The sequence below is a fragment of the Homo sapiens genome, chromosome 7 (assembly GCF_000001405.40).
Source record: "Homo sapiens chromosome 7, GRCh38.p14 Primary Assembly".
NCBI classification, from domain to species: Eukaryota; Metazoa; Chordata; class Mammalia; order Primates; family Hominidae; genus Homo; species Homo sapiens.
Window position 1 is genome coordinate 90,223,728 of NC_000007.14, and position 21,433 is coordinate 90,245,160.

Here is a 21,433-nt window from a genome sequence, read left to right on the forward strand (position 1 = left end):
CCATAGGTAAGCTATCTTTCTCAATGATACATTGTAAGATGTAGGGTGAATGATAGAAGTCCATGGTATTTACTCTTTTGTTATATTTTGATGCCTATTTTTCTTAAGATATTATTTAAGTGCCAGGATTCATTGTTAGCTAATTTGTCTAGCTCTCATTTAATGATAAAGTCACTAGCTACTGAAGTATATAGGGAACTTTATAACCTCTACCCCAAATGACTTTAGACAGTTTTGGTTTAAATGGCTTTTTAAAAAATGGTTTTTCTTTCTTCTCTTGTCTTGTGAGCCATCACTTAGTATCACAGTCCTCTCTGCCTCCAGCAGCATTTGTGATTTGCTGCCTCTGATCTGCTCAAAAGCTGGGTAATCATACTTGTTACAAGTGTGTTTTTCCAAAAAGTTCTGAGTGAAAACCTCAGTCCCTTTTTTCATGTGCTCTAGTGAGGTAGGAGGCAGAACTTGAATCCAGAGGCAAGGTTCAGACACTGGACCAAACTGAGGTCAGGGCAGAAGCACCTCCCCATAAGACATGCCCATCAGTGTGCCATGTCAGTTCACTATTGCCATGGCAACACCTAGAAGTTACCACCCCTTTCCATGGCAACAGCCCAACAACCCAGAAATTACCACCCTCATCCTAGAAATTTCTGCATAAATCACCCCTTAATTTGCATATAAATCAAGTAGGTTTAAATATGACTGCAGAGCTGCCACTGAGCTGCTACTCTAGGCACACTGCCTACGGGGTAGGCCTGCTCTGCAAGGAGCAGTACCTCTGCTGTTGCTGTAAACTGTTGCTTCAATAAACGTTGCTGTTTAACACCACCAGCTCGCCCTTGAATTCTTTCCCATGCAAAGCCAAGTAGTCTCCTGGGCTAAGCCCCCATTTGGGGGCTTTCCTGTCCTGCATCACTAGTGCCTTGCTGCTCAAAGAGGGGTCTCAGACCAGCATTGGTATTGCTTTCATTAGAAATGCAGAATGTTGAGCCTCCCTCCAGAACTACTCAATCAGAATCTACATTTTAACGAGATTCCGAAGTGATCTGTGTGCACATTAAAATTTGAGAAGCCCCACTTTAGCACCTCACCTTTGTGACAGTTAATTTTCCTATTGAGATGCTTTTTTAAAAGCCAAAAGATTTATGAAGAGAAACCAGAATAGTGATCCTTTTTTAGCTTACAAATTGTGTCTTACTGTGCTGTATGTTAAAGTGTGGTGAAATATTTTACCTCTAGAAAGACAGGACATTACAATGTCTAGAAGTGTTTTAATGTTCAGTAATAGGTAACTGATGACCATTTTATTTTCTCTCCCCTAGGATATTCTTGGTGATCTTGGAAGTGTCCGTATCATGGAATCAATCTCTATGATGGGAAGCCCTAAGAGCCTTAGTGAAACTTTTTTACCTAATGGCATAAATGGTATCAAAGATGCAAGGAAGGTCACTGTAGGTGTGATTGGAAGTGGAGATTTTGCCAAATCCTTGACCATTCGACTTATTAGATGCGGCTATCATGTGGTCATAGGAAGTAGAAATCCTAAGTTTGCTTCTGAATTTTTTCCTCATGTGGTAGATGTCACTCATCATGAAGATGCTCTCACAAAAACAAATATAATATTTGTTGCTATACACAGAGAACATTATACCTCCCTGTGGGACCTGAGACATCTGCTTGTGGGTAAAATCCTGATTGATGTGAGCAATAACATGAGGATAAACCAGTACCCAGAATCCAATGCTGAATATTTGGCTTCATTATTCCCAGATTCTTTGATTGTCAAAGGATTTAATGTTGTCTCAGCTTGGGCACTTCAGTTAGGACCTAAGGATGCCAGCCGGCAGGTATGTATTTTACATTTTTATTCTTATGTATCTGGTATTTTGTAGTTAAACAACTAAGCAAATATCAAACATTTTAATACCAAACTCTGACACTTTCCAATGATTATCATTTGAAAATTAATTATGAGCACCTGAAGATTAATGTCCTGACCTTGTAAGGGCACATTCCCATTCCCAACATGATGTGGAAAACTGGGAAAATAACGTGAAAGTCATCCAGTTCAACTTGAGAATAAAGCAGATGGGGCACTCTGTCAACACCATTGTGGAACAAGCTTTTATAAGTAAACACATAAAATATGTTTTAAAAATCTTTTAAATGTGCTTATGCATTACAATTAAGCATGATTATAAAACACTTTTATTGTTTTTGTCCATAAAGACAGTTGATTAGATTCCTTAGAAAATAAGTTTCAGTATTATATCATTGTATGCTGTATATCAGTCATGATAACCATTTACTTTCCAGTCTTTATTTTAATGACTGGTAAAAGAACATAGGCTCTTCTACAGGCTATTTCTGAATCCTTTTTTCTCTTTTGCATATCCACCAAAGTTTAGCAGTGGATATAGAATAAGCAAATTAGAACCAGGACCTGTGAGACAAACCTGAATTTAATAATATGCCCATATTTATGCCAATTTTAAATTTTTAACAGAAAAAAATGTGGAACAGTGATTAAATTCCAAATGAGCTACAGAAATAGTCTAAATTTGTATTATGTAGCATTTGTGCCTTTATTTTGAGTGTTTGGTTTATTTTTAGACTTATTATACCGTATTATAATTTATACAAAATTTTTTCCAAATGAGTTTTTAAAAAAGTTTATTCCACCATTGTCACAACTGTAATAAATTAATTTAGAATACTTTTTTCTTATTTGTGTTATAAAAGGACCTCTATTTTAAAAGTTCATAAATGATTATATAATATTCATTCAAATAGGATTTGTCATTCATCTGGCTAATGTTATCCAAGATTAATAATCCAAAGAGTGTTATATTGTCACCATTATGTAAATAGAAACATGCAAATATTTCTATGTGGTCTATTTTAGAGTCCTTATACAAACATCTTCAGGGATATATTTAGGAATTTGTTTTCCCCAAACATTACTTGGAGACTCTGTAGCAATATTTTTCTAGCCCTGAATGAGGTGGCCTACCCATTAGTAATAGTAGCTCACTCCAGTAATGAACTTGGTGCTCAATAAATACTTGTTGTTGTAGGCTTTCAAACTATTGAAATCTGTTAGATACTATAATATAGCTGAAAATTCAACAAGTATTTATTCCTCAAGGTCATCACAGGTGATGGTCCGTAAGTGGAGCATGCGATTGCTACCATTTTTATAAACAACAATGGTAATGCTGAGTCTTTTTGTTTTTTCCACAGGTTTATATATGCAGCAACAATATTCAAGCGCGACAACAGGTTATTGAACTTGCCCGCCAGTTGAATTTCATTCCCATTGACTTGGGATCCTTATCATCAGCCAGAGAGATTGAAAATTTACCCCTACGACTCTTTACTCTCTGGAGAGGGCCAGTGGTGGTAGCTATAAGCTTGGCCACATTTTTTTTCCTTTATTCCTTTGTCAGAGATGTGATTCATCCATATGCTAGAAACCAACAGAGTGACTTTTACAAAATTCCTATAGAGATTGTGAATAAAACCTTACCTATAGTTGCCATTACTTTGCTCTCCCTAGTATACCTCGCAGGTCTTCTGGCAGCTGCTTATCAACTTTATTACGGCACCAAGTATAGGAGATTTCCACCTTGGTTGGAAACCTGGTTACAGTGTAGAAAACAGCTTGGATTACTAAGTTTTTTCTTCGCTATGGTCCATGTTGCCTACAGCCTCTGCTTACCGATGAGAAGGTCAGAGAGATATTTGTTTCTCAACATGGCTTATCAGCAGGTACTGAATGTGCTTGTTATTTATCTGATGCTAGTAAAATACTTTTTATTAGTATAAATTGTAAAACATAAAATTTTACATGCCCTGTAATGGAAATTTGATTTTGGTATACTGCGGGAGGGGAAAGAATTGTTCTTTAAACAATGTTTTTGCAAAATAATTAGGTGGCTAATTCAAAATTATTTAAGTAAAGGCTGCTACCATCCTTTTCCATACAGAATAAAAGCAGAAAAATAGAGGGTTGGGTTCTCCCCCTTTTTCAATGTTATAATTGCAATGAGTGCTTTCAGTATTCAACAATTCATTATTTTAATGTTTTATAATTGGCTGTGCTCCACAAAATGATGAGGCAATTCTCAGTAAATATATACAATAAAATTAGAACCAGTAAAAATACAAAACAGAACAGGAAGACAAGATCAGGAGAAAAAAGTCGAATACACCTCTGCTAAGAGTGTCTCCACAGCTTCTCTTTTGGCTTTGAGATTTTCAATACAATGAGAAGGGAGACCCTATTATTTACAAAGCTCTTGTTATCAAAAACCAGAAAAGATAATAGTTCCACAGGTGAAGCTTTTCTAGCACTTAGCTCTAAAAAAAAAAATCTCAGGGAGCACTTCATGGAAGGGGTTTGATTATGAGGTAGACTATGGTTTTCCTCCATAATTCCCAATCCACAAATGTAATTTAAGGGGTTTCCCTGAAGCTGTTTGGTGTAGCATTTCTCCATGAAAGCCAAGAACATTGCACCAAAACAAATGTGTAAAAGCATCTGCATTTTGTAAGGATCGAAGGCATCATAGTCCAAGTATGTGGCATCTAGTACTTAAGCTTGTTTCAACAATAAAACCTAAAATAATATTTTTCTAATTAGTAGATTGATAACCTTTAAACCATTCACTCCCTGAAAAAAAACTTCTCTTAATGGGATACTAAGGCTTTTATTGTTGCTCAGTCAGCTCCCTTGCCTCCTTCCAGTCATTTGCCCAGATCTCACCTTCTCAGCGAGTCCTATGCTGGATACCATCTTAAATGCCGCTGCCTCTGCCCCAACCAGTATTCCCAATCCTTCTGACTTACCCTGCTCTACCTTTCTTTTTTTAATAACACTTACCATCTTCTAACACACTTGATTTCCATGTTAAAAATACATTTACCAGTGTCTGCCTTCCCCCAACAGAAAGTAAGTTCATGAGAAGAGGGATCTTTGTCTATCTTTTTCACTGATGCATACCCAGTGCCTAGATTTGAGCCTAGACATTGTGGACACTCAAACAGCCCATTTGTGGATGAATGAATGAACTGGGAGAGCAGGTAGATCCAGGTTGTAGTCTCCGAGTACACTGGGTAGTGCTGTTTTTCTGTATTGTATAGATATCAAATAAGAAGATGGTAAGAACTCTGTGGCCTCTTTCAAGATGATGGTATGATTGCCTTAGGGAACTAATAGCTAAGAAGCAGCTTTTCGTTGTTAAATTTCAAGTATGTTTTGTTAACTGGAATTGGACAAAGTTAAACTGTTGTTAAGTTAGAATCTGTTTTCCATTAATAGATACTTATTTAAATCAAAAATTTCAGCTGAAGGAGTCCAATACTTGATTTATACTCTAATTATATTCTGAATGTAAATAGAACTTCTAAAGGTAGTCCCTACACAAAATACCACAAATTCAGAGTTCACCGTCTGACTTGATTATATACACATTATCAATGTAAGGAAAAGACATTTGGAAAAAATACTGCATATAAATGACACAATTGGATAGTTGGGGATCATATTAAATGAGGCAGTTCAAGTGGATAAATGAGCTCCATTGGCCTTTATAGCTAGGGAAATCACAGCTTTCTAGGAAGAGAAGATGAGAAGAAAGATAAAACAGAGATATATTATTCATGTGATGGAAGAAGATACTGACATAGTTTAGAAATTCCCTGACCGGATCCAAGTTGAACTAAGGCCAGACTATATCCCAGATATTCAACCAAGTTTAAACCAGCTTGTAATAGTACTTCAAAACTAAGTTTAACTGTCAGTAACTTCTTTTGTGTCACCCTAGAACCAACTACTAGGTATTTTATGGTGTTGGATTCCAGAGTCCCTGTAATGATGATGGCAAAGCTTTGCCCCTCTATTCTAGCACGTATACAAGGAAAGAGAAAGTTTTGTCCTCCTTTTGTTTAATTCTCTTTTCCCTTACACCTGGAGCAGTATCATCCAGTAACAGGTTCTCTGTAATGGTTTGTTAGACTAAATTAGTACAACTTAAATACGTCCATATATGACCAGGTTCTTCTTATGCCAAGAGTGAACTCTGTGCTGAATCAGTTAATGTTCTACTAAATAAAGGAAATTCACATTCGCTTTCTTGTTAGGTTCATGCAAATATTGAAAACTCTTGGAATGAGGAAGAAGTTTGGAGAATTGAAATGTATATCTCCTTTGGCATAATGAGCCTTGGCTTACTTTCCCTCCTGGCAGTCACTTCTATCCCTTCAGTGAGCAATGCTTTAAACTGGAGAGAATTCAGTTTTATTCAGGTATGTGGGGTTTTGTTTGGTGAAGGATTGTGCAGGATAGGATTTCCTTGTTAAGAACAACTGCATTTTAAATATGTTCCTTATTAAAAGGGTGCCTTTGAGGCTGTATTTATGCATCTAGATACATTATGCTGGAAGCCAGCTTAGGATTGCTCTGGTTAAATAAGTGAAAGACCAGTCAGTATATGATTGTACTGGAAGACTTTGACAGCACTGCCTTCCAGTATACTATGTTAAGAACAAAAAAGTTATCTTAAAAGAGAAAAAAAAAATGAAAGTTGGGAAGGATGAGCTTAGATCAAATTTAATGTTGAAAGTCAATTTATTATTAGCCAAGTGAATGAAAAATTATTTTATGTTTTGAGTCATCTTGATTTGTCCAGAAAAATCTTATTAATTTGAACTCAAGTGGGGATGTCAATCTGAATATTTTAAAGAAATGTGTGTATATATACACACACATACAAACACAAGCAGTGGCAAACTAGGTAACTAGAGTAATGGATTATAACATGCAACCAGCCTTAAGAATTTTGTTAGTATATCAGTAGTATACTAATACGTATGGATGTCTGTAAAGGGATTTCAAACCACCATTGTATTCTTTAATAAGTTAAACATTCACCTTCTCCAATAATATCTAAATAATAAGGTTGCATATTTTAAAAATATATAACTGAAACATAGACCCTTCCTATATTTTCACAAAATCTGTACTGGTTGTATCCAAATGGTTTACAGCATAGTAGACAGATTCATGTCCTTTGGTGGTACACTTAAGTTTTGTTTCAATTCATTGCTTATTTGCTTGTTTTTTTTTTTAAGGTCCTGTAAAAATCTCATTCAAAGCAGGGCCAAAATGCTTATCTGAATTTATTTTTCCTTTTTGAAGAAAAGGGAGAGTACTTTCCCAACAGCTAGTTTAATCATACCCGAAAAGAAATAGAAGGTTCTAGACAGATGCAAATTATCATTATAAATTTAGATGAGTAATTGCAAATATTTTGCCTGCTGGAGGGTTGATATTTTCCAGTAAAGTTAGACATTACATCACTATACTGATGTAATATTACTTTTATATAACAGACTATTCTTCAAAGTAAGCACTCTTAAACATAATAATTTAGCGAACTAAAGAATGATGAGCTTTTAGAATTTAAACTGTAAAGTGCCTAACTGAAGTATTCTTAATAAACTCTATATTTTAATTGTTGTTTATATTAATACTGCAGGATTTTTCATATTTGCCTATTAACCAGTGTGTATATATGTGTGTGTGCCCATGAGGATGCTCATTTAATTTTAATTTAATTTAATTAATTTTAATAATTTTAAATTAGTTTATTTAATTTTATCATATGTCTGTTTATGTATTAACAGTGATGTGTTACCTAACAGTAGGGAACGTTCTGAGCAATGAGTCGTTAGGCAGTTTTATCATGTGAACATCATAGAGCATATTTATACAAACCATGACCTATTGCTCCCAGGCTACAAACCTGTACAGCATGTTACTGTACTGAATATTACAGGCACTTGTAACACAATGGTAAATATTTGTGTATCTAAACATATCTAAACAGAGAAAAGGTACAGTAAAAATAAGGCATATAATCTTATGGGACCACCGTTGTATATGCAGTCCATAGTTGACCAAAATGCCCTTATGTGGCACATGACTATATTTATGTGTATGTGTATACACACACACATACATACACATTTCTTTAATACACAACTGGTGGGAATGTGAATAATTTTTATAAAGAAGAGTCTAGCAGTATGTATCAGTACCCTTAAGGAAAAGCTAGATGTTTTGACCAATAATCCTACTATTAGAAACCAGTCCTAAGAAAATAAATCAAAATATGGAAAATGGCCTAACATGACATTTATAGTTGAGGAAAGTTGGAAACAGTGAATTATCAACAAAAAGGAATGGTTTAATAAATTATGCACATCCATTCAATAGAATATTATACAGTATTAATGTCATTTTCATATTTAATGACATGAGGAAAATGTTCTTGATAAAATAAATGAAGTAGTAAGAATATTAAACTGTATGCAGTAGGGCCTTATTTGTGTAACATAAGGTGTGCATATAAATAATACATATATATGCATATATAAAAATATTAATATTATTTAATTCAGTAGAGGACAAAGGTTAACTTGATAATTTAAGACAAAATAGTTTTATCAAAATATAAACATGGTGTATCTTGATAGTTTAATTTATGAGTTTCAGTCATTTGTTTCTTATTCTTTGTTTCTTTTCCTTCCTCTCCTGGCCCAAGTCTACACTTGGATATGTCGCTCTGCTCATAAGTACTTTCCATGTTTTAATTTATGGATGGAAACGAGCTTTTGAGGAAGAGTACTACAGATTTTATACACCACCAAACTTTGTTCTTGCTCTTGTTTTGCCCTCAATTGTAATTCTGGGTAAGATTATTTTATTCCTTCCATGTATAAGCCGAAAGCTAAAACGAATTAAAAAAGGCTGGGAAAAGAGCCAATTTCTGGAAGAAGGTATGGGAGGAACAATTCCTCATGTCTCCCCGGAGAGGGTCACAGTAATGTGATGACAAATGGTGTTCACAGCTGCCATATAAAGTTCTACTCATGCCATTATTTTTATGACTTCTACGTTCAGTTACAAGTATGCTGTCAAATTATCGTGGGTTGAAACTTGTTAAATGAGATTTCAACTGACTTAGTGATAGAGTTTTCTTCAAGTTAATTTTCACAAATGTCATGTTTGCCAATATGAATTTTTCTAGTCAACATATTATTGTAATTTAGGTATGTTTTGTTTTGTTTTGCACAACTGTAACCCTGTTGTTACTTTATATTTCATAATCAGGCAAAAATACTTACAGTTAATAATATAGATATAATGTTAAAAACAATTTGCAAACCAGCAGAATTTTAAGCTTTTAAAATAATTCAATGGATATACATTTTTTTCTGAAGATTAAGATTTTAATTATTCAACTTAAAAAGTAGAAATGCATTATTATACATTTTTTTAAGAAAGGACACGTTATGTTAGCATCTAGGTAAGGCTGCATGATAGCATTCCTATATTTCTCTCATAAAATAGGATTTGAAGGATGAAATTAATTGTATGAAGCAATGTGATTATATGAAGAGACACAAATTAAAAAGACAAATTAAACCTGAAATTATATTTAAAATATATTTGAGACATGAAATACATACTGATAATACATACCTCATGAAAGATTTTATTCTTTATTGTGTTACAGAGCAGTTTCATTTTCATATTAATATACTGATCAGGAAGAGGATTCAGTAACATTTGGCTTCCAAAACTGCTATCTCTAATACGGTACCAATCCTAGGAACTGTATACTAGTTCCTACTTAGAACAAAAGTATCAAGTTTGCACACAAGTAATCTGCCAGCTGACCTTTGTCGCACCTTAACCAGTCACCACTTGCTATGGTATAGGATTATACTGATGTTCTTTGAGGGATTCTGATGTGCTAGGCATGGTTCTAAGTACTTTACTTGTATTATCCCATTTAATACTTAGAACAACCCCGTGAGATAAGTAGTTATTATCCTCATTTTACACATGAGGGACCGAAGGATAGAAAAGTTATTTTTCAAAGGTCTTGCAGTTAATAAATGGCAGAGTGAGCATTCAAGTCCAGGTAGTCATATTCCAGAGGCCACGGTTTTAACCACTAGGCTCTAGAGCTCCCGCCGCGCCCCTATGCATTATGTTCACAATGCCAATCTAGATGCTTCCTCTTTTGTATAAAGTCACTGACATTCTTTAGAGTGGGTTGGGTGCATCCAAAAATGTATAAAAATATTATTATAATAAACTTATTACTGCTTGTAGGGTAATTCACAGTTACTTACCCTATTCTTGCTTGGAACATGAGCCTGGAGACCCATGGCAGTCCATATGCCTCCCTATGCAGTGAAGGGCCCTAGCAGTGTTAACAAATTGCTGAGATCCCACGGAGTCTTTCAAAAATCTCTGTAGAGTTAGTCTTCTCCTTTTCTCTTCCTGAGAAGTTCTCCTGCCTGCATAACCATTCATTAGGGAGTACTTTACAAGCATGAAGGATATTAGGGTAAGTGGCTAATTATAAATCTACTCTAGAGACATATAATCATACAGATTATTCATAAAATTTTTCAGTGCTGTCCTTCCACATTTAATTGCATTTTGCTCAAACTGTAGAATGCCCTACATTCCCCCCACCCCAATTTGCTATTTCCTTATTAAAATAGAAAATTATAGGCAAGATACAATTATATGCGTTCCTCTTCCTGAAATTATAACATTTCTAAACTTACCCACGTAGGTACTACTGAATCCAACTGCCAACAATAAAAAGACTTTTATTTAGTAGAGGCTACCTTTCCCACCAGTGACTCTTTTTCTACAACTGCCTTGTCAGTTTGGTAATTCACTTATGATTTTCTAATGTTCTCTTGGTGAATTTTATTATCTTGTACCCTCTTTTTTTTTTTTTTTTTTTTTAAAGACAGAGTCTTGCTCTGTCACCCAGGCTGGAGTGCAGTGGCACGATCTCGGCTCACTGCAAGCTCTGCCTCCCGGGTTCACGCCATTCTCCTGCCTCAGCCTCCCGAGTAGCTGGGACTACAGGTGCCCGCCACCATGCCCGGCTGATTTCTTTTTGTATTTTTAGTAGAGACGGAGTTTCACCGTGTTAGCCAGGATGGTCTCGATCTCCTGACCTCGTGATCCGCCCGCCTTGGCCTCCAAAGTGCTGGGATTACAGGTGTGAGCTACCGCGCCCGGCCTATTATCTTGTACTTTCTAACTGAGCCCTCTATTTTCTTTATTTTAATAATATTTCTCCCCACTTGAGAATCACTTGTTAGTTCTTGGTAGGAATTCAGTTGGGCAATGATAACTTTTATGGGCAAAAACATTCTATTATAGTGAACTAATGAAAATAACAGCGTATTTTCAATATTTTCTTATTCCTTAAATTCCACTCTTTTAACACTATGCTTAACCACTTAATGTGATGAAATATTCCTAAAAGTTAAATGACTATTAAAGCATATATTGTTGCATGTATATATTAAGTAGCCGATACTCTAAATAAAAATACCACTGTTACAGATAAATGGGGCCTTTAAAAATATGAAAAACAAACTTGTGAAAATGTATAAAAGATGCATCTGTTGTTTCAAATGGCACTATCTTCTTTTCAGTACTACAAAAACAGAATAATTTTGAAGTTTTAGAATAAATGTAATATATTTACTATAATTCTAAATGTTTAAATGCTTTTCTAAAAATGCAAAACTATGATGTTTAGTTGCTTTATTTTACCTCTATGTGATTATTTTTCTTAATTGTTATTTTTTATAATCATTATTTTTCTGAACCATTCTTCTGGCCTCAGAAGTAGGACTGAATTCTACTATTGCTAGGTGTGAGAAAGTGGTGGTGAGAACCTTAGAGCAGTGGAGATTTGCTACCTGGTCTGTGTTTTGAGAAGTGCCCCTTAGAAAGTTAAAAGAATGTAGAAAAGATACTCAGTCTTAATCCTATGCAAAAAAAAAAATCAAGTAATTGTTTTCCTATGAGGAAAATAACCATGAGCTGTATCATGCTACTTAGCTTTTATGTAAATATTTCTTATGTCTCCTCTATTAAGAGTATTTAAAATCATATTTAAATATGAATCTATTCATGCTAACATTATTTTTCAAAACATACATGGAAATTTAGCCCAGATTGTCTACATATAAGGTTTTTATTTGAATTGTAAAATATTTAAAAGTATGAATAAAATATATTTATAGGTATTTATCAGAGATGATTATTTTGTGCTACATACAGGTTGGCTAATGAGCTCTAGTGTTAAACTACCTGATTAATTTCTTATAAAGCAGCATAACCTTGGCTTGATTAAGGAATTCTACTTTCAAAAATTAATCTGATAATAGTAACAAGGTATATTATACTTTCATTACAATCAAATTATAGAAATTACTTGTGTAAAAGGGCTTCAAGAATATATCCAATTTTTAAATATTTTAATATATCTCCTATCTGATAACTTAATTCTTCTAAATTACCACTTGCCATTAAGCTATTTCATAATAAATTCTGTACAGTTTCCCCCCAAAAAAGAGATTTATTTATGAAATATTTAAAGTTTCTAATGTGGTATTTTAAATAAAGTATCATAAATGTAATAAGTAAATATTTATTTAGGAATACTGTGAACACTGAACTAATTATTCCTGTGTCAGTCTATGAAATCCCTGTTTTGAAATACGTAAACAGCCTAAAATGTGTTGAAATTATTTTGTAAATCCATGACTTAAAACAAGATACATACATAGTATAACACACCTCACAGTGTTAAGATTTATATTGTGAAATGAGACACCCTACCTTCAATTGTTCATCAGTGGGTAAAACAAATTCTGATGTACATTCAGGACAAATGATTAGCCCTAAATGAAACTGTAATAATTTCAGTGGAAACTCAATCTGTTTTTACCTTTAAACAGTGAATTTTACATGAATGAATGGGTTCTTCACTTTTTTTTTAGTATGAGAAAATTATACAGTGCTTAATTTTCAGAGATTCTTTCCATATGTTACTAAAAAATGTTTTGTTCAGCCTAACATACTGAGTTTTTTTTAACTTTCTAAATTATTGAATTTCCATCATGCATTCATCCAAAATTAAGGCAGACTGTTTGGATTCTTCCAGTGGCCAGATGAGCTAAATTAAATCACAAAAGCAGATGCTTTTGTATGATCTCCAAATTGCCAACTTTAAGGAAATATTCTCTTGAAATTGTCTTTAAAGATCTTTTGCAGCTTTGCAGATACCCAGACTGAGCTGGAACTGGAATTTGTCTTCCTATTGACTCTACTTCTTTAAAAGCGGCTGCCCATTACATTCCTCAGCTGTCCTTGCAGTTAGGTGTACATGTGACTGAGTGTTGGCCAGTGAGATGAAGTCTCCTCAAAGGAAGGCAGCATGTGTCCTTTTTCATCCCTTCATCTTGCTGCTGGGATTGTGGATATAACAGGAGCCCTGGCAGCTGTCTCCAGAGGATCAAAGCCACACCCAAAGAGTAAGGCAGATTAGAGACCAGAAAGACCTTGACTACTTCCCTACTTCCACTGCTTTTTCCTGCATTTAAGCCATTGTAAATCTGGGTGTGTTACATGAAGTGAAAATTAATTCTTTCTGCCCTTCAGTTCTTTATCCTGATACCATTTAACACTGTCTGAATTAACTAGACTGCAATAATTCTTTCTTTTGAAAGCTTTTAAAGGATAATGTGCAATTCACATTAAAATTGATTTTCCATTGTCAATTAGTTATACTCATTTTCCTGCCTTGATCTTTCATTAGATATTTTGTATCTGCTTGGAATATATTATCTTCTTTTTAACTGTGTAATTGGTAATTACTAAAACTCTGTAATCTCCAAAATATTGCTATCAAATTACACACCATGTTTTCTATCATTCTCATAGATCTGCCTTATAAACATTTAAATAAAAAGTACTATTTAATGATTTAACTTCTGTTTTGAAATGTTGTATACACGTGGATTTTTTTCTCATTAAATAATAATTCTAGTATTTGATGGAGGCCTTCTAATACTTTTCTGAGTTATTTCTTTTCAGAAGCATCCAGAAAGCAATACATGTGATAGTTATGGAGGGGTTTTGTTTGTTTTTACTAAAATAGTCATTTAGAAAAACCTCCATTTACATTTATTTTATTACATTATTTCATTTTACTAGCATTCATTAAGCATCTTTAAATCAGAACACACACAATATTCAAGCTATTCTGTAAACTCCCCGTAGCAGAAATTTTGTCTTATTTACTACTAAATCCCCAGTATCTAGTATAATGTGATCTATGATGGATACTAAAGAGATATTATAATAAATAATTACCCATTTTTACAGAAAATTATGTTTTTTATCATCCCGCATCCATGCAGCCATGCCTACATCCTCTTGCCTCTTCCTCATGCCTTGCCTCCTGGCCAGTGGCCTAGCGCTACCCTGTTGTCCTAAAGAGTTTCTGCTGCTGCTGCCACTACCACCACCACCACACTGCTATATGTTGAGGAGTCCTGTACACTGTGCCACTGACAAGGAGTAACTGACCTTTGTGCCTGTGCACCAGATCTGTCTGTGGAGGTTCTGGCTTCCCCAGCTGCTGCCTGGAAATGCTTAGGTGCTAATATCCTGAGAGGAGGATTGTCAGGTAAAATACAGGACTCTCAGTTAAATTTGAATTGCAGACAAACAATAAATTACTTTTTATTATAAGCATGGGCTTTTTAAAATTTTTCTAAATCTGGCAACCCTACTTAAGGAGTGAACTTTGATCAAGGAGGTACAGCACAAAATGAAGCTAGTAGATAAATTCTCCCTTCCTTTCCCCCAGATAGGCTGTTCTAAAGTGCAATAATTCATAAGACCTTCATGAAAATATCCTCAAAGACCGAGCAATTAACTGCACTTGTTGCAAAGCTATGACAAGCTCACTAACACCTGTGTTTGTGTTCCCTTCTCCTACTGCCTCACTTCCATGTTTTTCCTCACTTCTGTTTCTCAGAGATAGTACTCCCCATAGAGTGGCAGCAGGTGAGTGTTGGTGTTGTTTGTTTATGGCAGGCTTGGGGAACCTAGACTAGTACAGTACTTTTGGTAGTGGATTCTTCTAATGGGAAGTGAAACAAGAGACAAATGATGACTTTGAGAAAGTCAGGCACGGGACCCTGCAGACTCAAAATCCAGATTTGTTGAGACCCCTGAGAGTAGAAAAACCCCTCAGGGGCAGATTCACATTGATCAAATGTACAGTCATACACTGTTAAATCAAAATAGTAACTCAGCACTACTGTGTGAAATATCAGTGTCCTGTAGGCGAGAATACCATTTGTGCCTTGATTAAACATACTTTATTCTTGAATCTGCTGTTTATAAGAATTGAAGTTATAATTCAAAAGATACTGGGATCTGTTATGGGCTGAACTGTGTTTCCTCAAAATTGATACATTGAAATCCTAACTCCCACACTACCTCAGAATGTATTTGGAGATAGGATCTTTAAAGAGGTAAAGTGAGGTCATACAGTTGGGCCCTAATCCAGTATGACTGGTGTCCTCATAAGAAGAGGAGATTAGGAATCAGGCATGCACAGAGGGAAGACCACGTGAAGTAAAAGGGAGAAGACGGCATGCCAAGGAGAGATGCCTCGAGATGAAACCAATCCTGCCAACACCTTAGTCTTCAACTTCTAGCCTCCAGAACTGTAACAAAATAAATTTCTGTTGTTAAAGCCACCCAGTCTGTGGTATTTGTTACAGCAGTCTTCAAAAACTAATACAAGGTTCATAGAATCAAAACAAGTCAATTTAGATATAGAACTCAAATAATTAATGTCATTGGAACAAACCTGTCTGATTAATCTTGCTCCACAACAAAGACAGTTCTATCCTGGGGTTATTGCACTATAACTACCCACCATTTAAACACAATAAATAGTTGTTCTAAAATCTCGGGAACATTTTTTTTTCATATAATTATTCCCATGTCATGGAACTGAAGCTTTGGGTAAAAGCGCTTTATAAATTCTTCTTTTAATTTTTTTTACTTTCAATTTGTTTACTTTTCCACTAAACACGAGTAGTTCCTGCAGCTTCCTACTTAAAAATCACTTGCAGTTTGGGTTATTGTTAGTATACTTTTCATTAGAATGGTTGTCTTCAGGGGTGACTATTCTTTTACTTTCGTTTTCTGTTCCACGTGCTTATTCTTCCCAAATGTACATTAATGATTCTGTTGGAAAGAGGTAATTACTTTTGTTTTGTTTTTAGGCTTTGTTTCTGTGCTGTCAACCTGAAAAAGTTTTTTAAAACAGTGAAGTATAGGCTGGGAGCGGTGGCTCACGCCTGTGATCCTAGCACTTTGGGAGGCCAAAGTGGGCAGATCGTTTGAACCCAGGAGTTCAAGACCAACCTGGGCAATATGGTGAAACCCCATCTCTACAAAAAACAACAAAAATTAGCCAGACACGGTGGCACACACTTGTAGTTCCAGCTGCTCGTGAGGCTAAGGTGGGAGGTGGGAGGATCACCTGAGCCCAGGGAGGTCAGGGCTGCAGTGAGCAGAGATCACGCCACTGCACCCCAGCCTGGGTGACAGAGTGAGACCCTGTCTCAAAAAAAAAAAAAATTAAGTATAATAAATTCTGGTTTTGTATGCATTTCTTCTCTTACAGAATTTCCCTAAAGCTAACCTACTAAAAACTATGACTAGATTTCATATGTGCTATAAACATTCTTTATTTAAAATAAATTACTCTAATTCAGAAAGGAATAACATTTGCTTGCACATTTAGAACATCTGGCATTAGAGACTATAAAATTCATATATAGTCTCAAATACTTATTAGACATATTCTTAATTCAAGAATATATAATTATTCATATGATTAGAAATAATTATAATTTTACTAAACATTGCTAATTAGGCAGAGTACAAACAAGAAAAAGTCAGAAGGAAAATAGAACCACAATTTGCAATATATTTATTTTAAAACATTTTTAGCTTTCTTTGTTACTTTTAAAAGTAAAACTTGTAAGTCAATATATTATTAAAACTACTAGTTAATCTTTAAGTCTACAGGTGCTACTAAGAAATTGCAATTTGTAACTTAACAGAGATATTAAATTCTGTAGAATTGTTACCACATTCAAGCATTTCTATTCTGTAGGTATAACTCATTTCCCATGTTTCTCTGCTATTTATCTTTTTGCTGAAATAATTTACTCCTTCAGTAGTCATTTCACCCTTTCACCCTTCTGTGTTTTTGTGTCATAACAGAAGAATCACTAAATAATGATTAAAATTAAGTCAACATACCAAATATAAAGTTAAAGCTTTTATGAAGCTTAATCTTTGTGCACTTACCAAGAAGAAAAGTAAACCCACTATTATTTGGGAACAAAGGACTTGGAAAATCCACGAATGGAATAATTAGTGAAAACCAGTTTTATGGATGCTGTTAAAACTACTCCAAAGCAATAATAATGACAACACACATAAACATACACACACACACACACACACTCACACACATGAGCAGTGCTTCTCAAATTTTGATGTGAGGCTGAGGATCTTGAGAGATCAGAATCTCAGAATGGAGATTCTGAGTCAGTAGGTCCACCAGGCGGCAAGAGAGTCTCCATTCCTAACAGAGTCCCTAGTAATGCCAGTGCAAGTAGCCCAAGGACCCCATTTTGAGTAGCAAGGACCTGGAGTATTTACCTTACTTTGGATAACTTACAAAATGCTTTAATTTGGCTTCAAATCAAAATAAAAAGTAATTTATAATCCTTGAAATCTTTTAATGAACATTTTTTGAGTGACTAGTATGATATGGACCAGGAAGTCCCAAAGTATGTTCTCCAGACCAATAGCATCAACATTGTTTGGGAACTGGTTAAAAGCACATATCCTTGGGCCTCACCCAGACTTACTGAAGCAGAGACTCTGCAGGTAGGGCTTGAGATTCTGTTTTAACTATTTCTCCAGACGATTCTGATACACATTAGGTTTTGAAAACTACTGCTCTAGACAGTATGCTGAGGGTCTGGGGTGCATATCAAAGTGACTCTCAAGAATCTCAGTACAGTAGGAAGGGGTCCAATTGCTGAACCAGTTGATACCATTAAGTATGTGATGAGTACAAAAACGGAATGACAGACAAGGTTGCACCCAACACAGCAAAGGATGTAAAGGTTTCCTAGAAAATGTCATGTTAACTGAATTTCATAGGGATTAGCCATCTGAAGACGGTGGCATGTACAACATAATGCAAATGTTATGCGGGAGGAAACCTGCTGGCACCTTTCGAAAACTGCAGTAATTCACCCAAGATGGCTGGCTGTGGGGTGTTTGAAGACTCCTCTACCCTTGTCCTTCTCACCTGTCCATGAGTAAAACAAATACCGTTAGAGCTAGAAAAAAAAAATTACAAAGCTGAGTCTATTAACTTGCCAAGCAAGAGAACTTACTCCATGAAGAATTTCACTGAGGAGGGAAAGTCAGGGGTTTTTAAATGTTAGAAGTGGGGAGCTTATGGGGCTTATGCTAATTAAGCATTGGAAACTGGCACTCTGGATATGGGGCAGAATGAATATATAGGTCTCTACACCATTGGTTAAATAAAATAAATATCCCATTGTTCACTAGTCAGGAAAGTCTCTTCAGTTAGGTCCAGTGAGGAAGGTGCCTGTCTAAGGTTACTGAGGCTTAAAGACCCTTATCAGCTTCAGCCTGTGCTGTTAAAATACAAGAGTCAGTTGATGTCTCCTAGGCAAGCTCTACTTTAAGTGGAAATTTTTCCTTTCCCCTCCCTCCTCTTCATCTTTCCTGATCCTGAGATGCTAGGATGACCACACAAAGGATATGCAAATAATCCAATTGTCAGCTCTCTGCCACCATCTTGGTTTGGGGTGCCATTCCACAGGATTCCATTGTATTCATCCAAGTAGTTTCAGTCTCCTTTCGATGTGGTTTACTTGGACTGTGTAACAGCAATTTAAGTCATATGAATAAAACACTTAACATGCTTTGCACTTTCCCTAGGTGGAAGCAACCTTAGACCTACTAAACTGCCCTCTAGATGTAATAAGGCCTAAGAATGGTTCTAAAGATATCTATCAGTAGCTAGGCAGCAGAGTGGTGCAGCAGAAGCATGCTGGGCCCATAAAGATACCAATGAGTAGCTGTAGAGATGAAAGAAAAACAAAAAGAATGTGGAAGCCTAGGCAAGGGGGTTGTAAAAAGAGGAGAGGGGTCAACAGTGTAAAATACTACAGACTAGTATAACAGGATGAGAACTGAAAAATGTTAATAGACTTTGACCCCAAGTGTTGGTGATCTCACAGTTTCAGAGGGCTGAGGATGAGAAAAGCGGAAGAATGACTAGAAGTGTGGAAACAGGTGCTAGAAATGCTCACTACTCTCAACAAAACTTGGTCTCTTCGGCTAGGATTTACAATCAAATGCTGCCAGTCCTAATCTAGTGTTACCATTTTTCTTTTAGGGCCAGAAATATTCAACGTCTGAGGCAGAAGGAACCTTCAAAATCACTTATCAACCTCATTCTAGAAATGAGGAGAGAAGCTCTGAGAAGTGAAGTAATATTTATTTTCATTGAATTTATATGTAATTTTAAATTCATAAATTCTATGGAAGATACAAAAATGCACGTTTAAATCTTGAATAATTTTTGAAAGTTTAAAAAACAGATTAAAAGAGTTAGAGTTTTTTAAATTTTCAGTTATGGTGTTTGAGTTATTAAATTATACTGATGATCATCATGAGAAGCTTTCCATTATAGTCTTGACCCTTCTTGTATTATTATTCAGTCTACAATGGATAGGCAACAACATGTCAACTGAAAAATCATAAGATCTATAAATTTAGAAAGGAGACTTTGTTTCTTATAATGAGTTACAACCTGCAGGCTGGCCATTCTGCAGGCTGGGAAGCCCAGGCTCCCACAGAGACAGTCAACAGGCACTTTGAAGGAGGTGGGGTTGGAGCAGAAGCTTTATGCTGAATGAGTTGGCTAAACAGACATATTCAACAGATTGTAAGAAGAGCTGTGAATCTTCACTAAGAGGGGTGCTGAATAAACATGCATGTGACATGCATCCCATGCTCACTGTGGAGTGGAAACTTAACATTTAAATGCATTACAGTCCCTATACATCAAAAGGAGAAGCAGAGACATGAATGTACTAGTGCTCAGTCTCTGTAAACCTGCCAGAACCAGTCCATAGTGGGTGGTCTTTTATCAGGGGAAAGTTACTGAATCGGTCCCTTGTCCAATCAAACCTGCAGTTATGACTTGTGGAACAGGAGGGTCTTGTTAGTCAACATCTGGCCATGGATGAGCTGCAATTATTTCAATATTGCTTATGTCGAGGGCAGTTCTTATTTAACAGCTAGAGAAAAATAAAAACATTGCAGCAGTTAAAACAAAGGTTATTCTTTAAGTGTAGGTGTGAGTGACTTAACTCTTGCCTGGCATGGCCTTAGGTCTTGCTTATAATTTGTTATTGCCACAGAGTCCATTCTGTTAGCCTTCTGATCTCCATTTTAACATTAATGCTGGTCAGTTGTTGAGTCTAAGCCCTCAAAGGGAGGGGGAGCCGAGCTTGGTGGCATGTGCACCTGTACTCCCAGCTATTCCCGAGGCTGAAGCGGGAGGATCGTTTGAGCCAGAGGTTGGAGGTTGCAGAGCTACGATCCTGCCACTGCACTCCAGCCTGGGGGACACAGTGAGACCCTGTCTCAAAAAACCAGGGGTGAGGGGGACGTGAAAAGGGAGGAGGTAGGGGGGTATAGCGAGGCGTGTCCGTCCTTCCGTCCCGTCAGGGCGAGGAATTCAGCTTTTAAGGTTTATCGGGGGTCCTCTTGGCCAAAAGGGGGTCCGTTCAGTCGGTTGTGGGGCTTAGGATTTAATTTTTAGTTCTCAAACAGTAATAAAGATAATGATAATCTTGACCATACGGGATGCTGTGCCAAGCACCACTTAACAAACACTGTCATCTCATTCAATCCTCACAACAGTCCTATTTTACAGATGAGAAAAGTGAGACTTCAAGGGATAACTCGCTCTAGATTCAATAAACTGACTCAAAAGCCTTTTAACATTCTGTACAATACCTTTTATGTTTGTTTATTTAACTGTCCAGTTGGGCCACTAAAGTACAGATAAAAGCTGGGGAATGTAAGCGAGACTGGTCACTTCCCTGGGGTGAGAGAAACGCTTTCAACACTATCCGTCCATCGTATCACGCCTAACGTATCCCATAGACATCCCTCACCCCTCCACCCACTCATGCCTGTTTGAAGCAAGACTATGAAGACCGAAACACACCGGGAGCCTAAGGCACCACTCCCCGCTACCTACCGAGGTGCATCCTGCAGGCTCCTTACCGCAAGCCTGCAAACTCGCCCTGCCGGGCGCGGAGTGCAATTAGGCTTTGGGGTGGTTTGGCTCTCCGGCTTTCCGTAGCCTCT

General features: G+C 36.2%; 1 protein-coding gene and 1 long non-coding RNA gene across 25 annotated transcripts in view, besides 1 other annotated feature; one reads left to right on the plus strand and one right to left on the minus strand.

Annotated features, from left to right (window-relative positions):
• Window positions 1-19,681, plus strand: part of STEAP2 (STEAP2 metalloreductase) — a 31,669-nt gene extending 11,988 nt beyond the window's left edge. For 10 of the 23 annotated variants that reach the window (XM_047420172.1, XM_047420175.1, XM_006715921.5 and 7 more), the window contains 4 exons: window positions 1,323-1,847; window positions 3,244-3,771; window positions 6,145-6,309; window positions 8,610-13,956. In XM_047420172.1, the coding sequence (XP_047276128.1) occupies window positions 1,356-1,847; window positions 3,244-3,771; window positions 6,145-6,309; window positions 8,610-8,897 (1,473 nt within the window). In that variant the 5' untranslated portion in view covers window positions 1,323-1,355 and the 3' untranslated portion in view covers window positions 8,898-13,956. Of the gene's footprint in view, window positions 1-1,322; window positions 1,848-3,243; window positions 3,772-6,144; window positions 6,310-8,609; window positions 13,957-19,445 lie in introns of those variants that run through there. The other 13 variants (XM_047420180.1, XM_017011956.3, XM_017011957.2 and 10 more) reach the window with 4 other exon arrangements.
• Window positions 10,833-11,038: a silencer, noted in NCBI's record as "fragment chr7:89863874-89864079 (GRCh37/hg19 assembly coordinates)". NCBI's record gives its function as "represses an EF-1alpha promoter that drives an FKBP-Casp9 reporter gene in an ReSE screen in K562 erythroleukemia cells {active_cell/tissue: K562}" and the evidence as "EXISTENCE:reporter gene assay evidence [ECO:0000049][PMID:32094911]".
• On the minus strand, window positions 13,860-21,404 carry LOC107986819 (uncharacterized). Of its 2 annotated transcripts, none has more exons than XR_007060423.1 (2): window positions 21,350-21,404; window positions 13,860-20,352 (listed from the first exon to the last, which is right to left on the minus strand). It is a non-coding gene; the product is annotated as an uncharacterized LOC107986819 (long non-coding RNA). The 2 variants fall into 2 exon arrangements; XR_007060422.1 differs by having other exon boundaries at window positions 21,324-21,366.
• Between the last annotated feature and the right edge of the window lie 29 nt (window positions 21,405-21,433).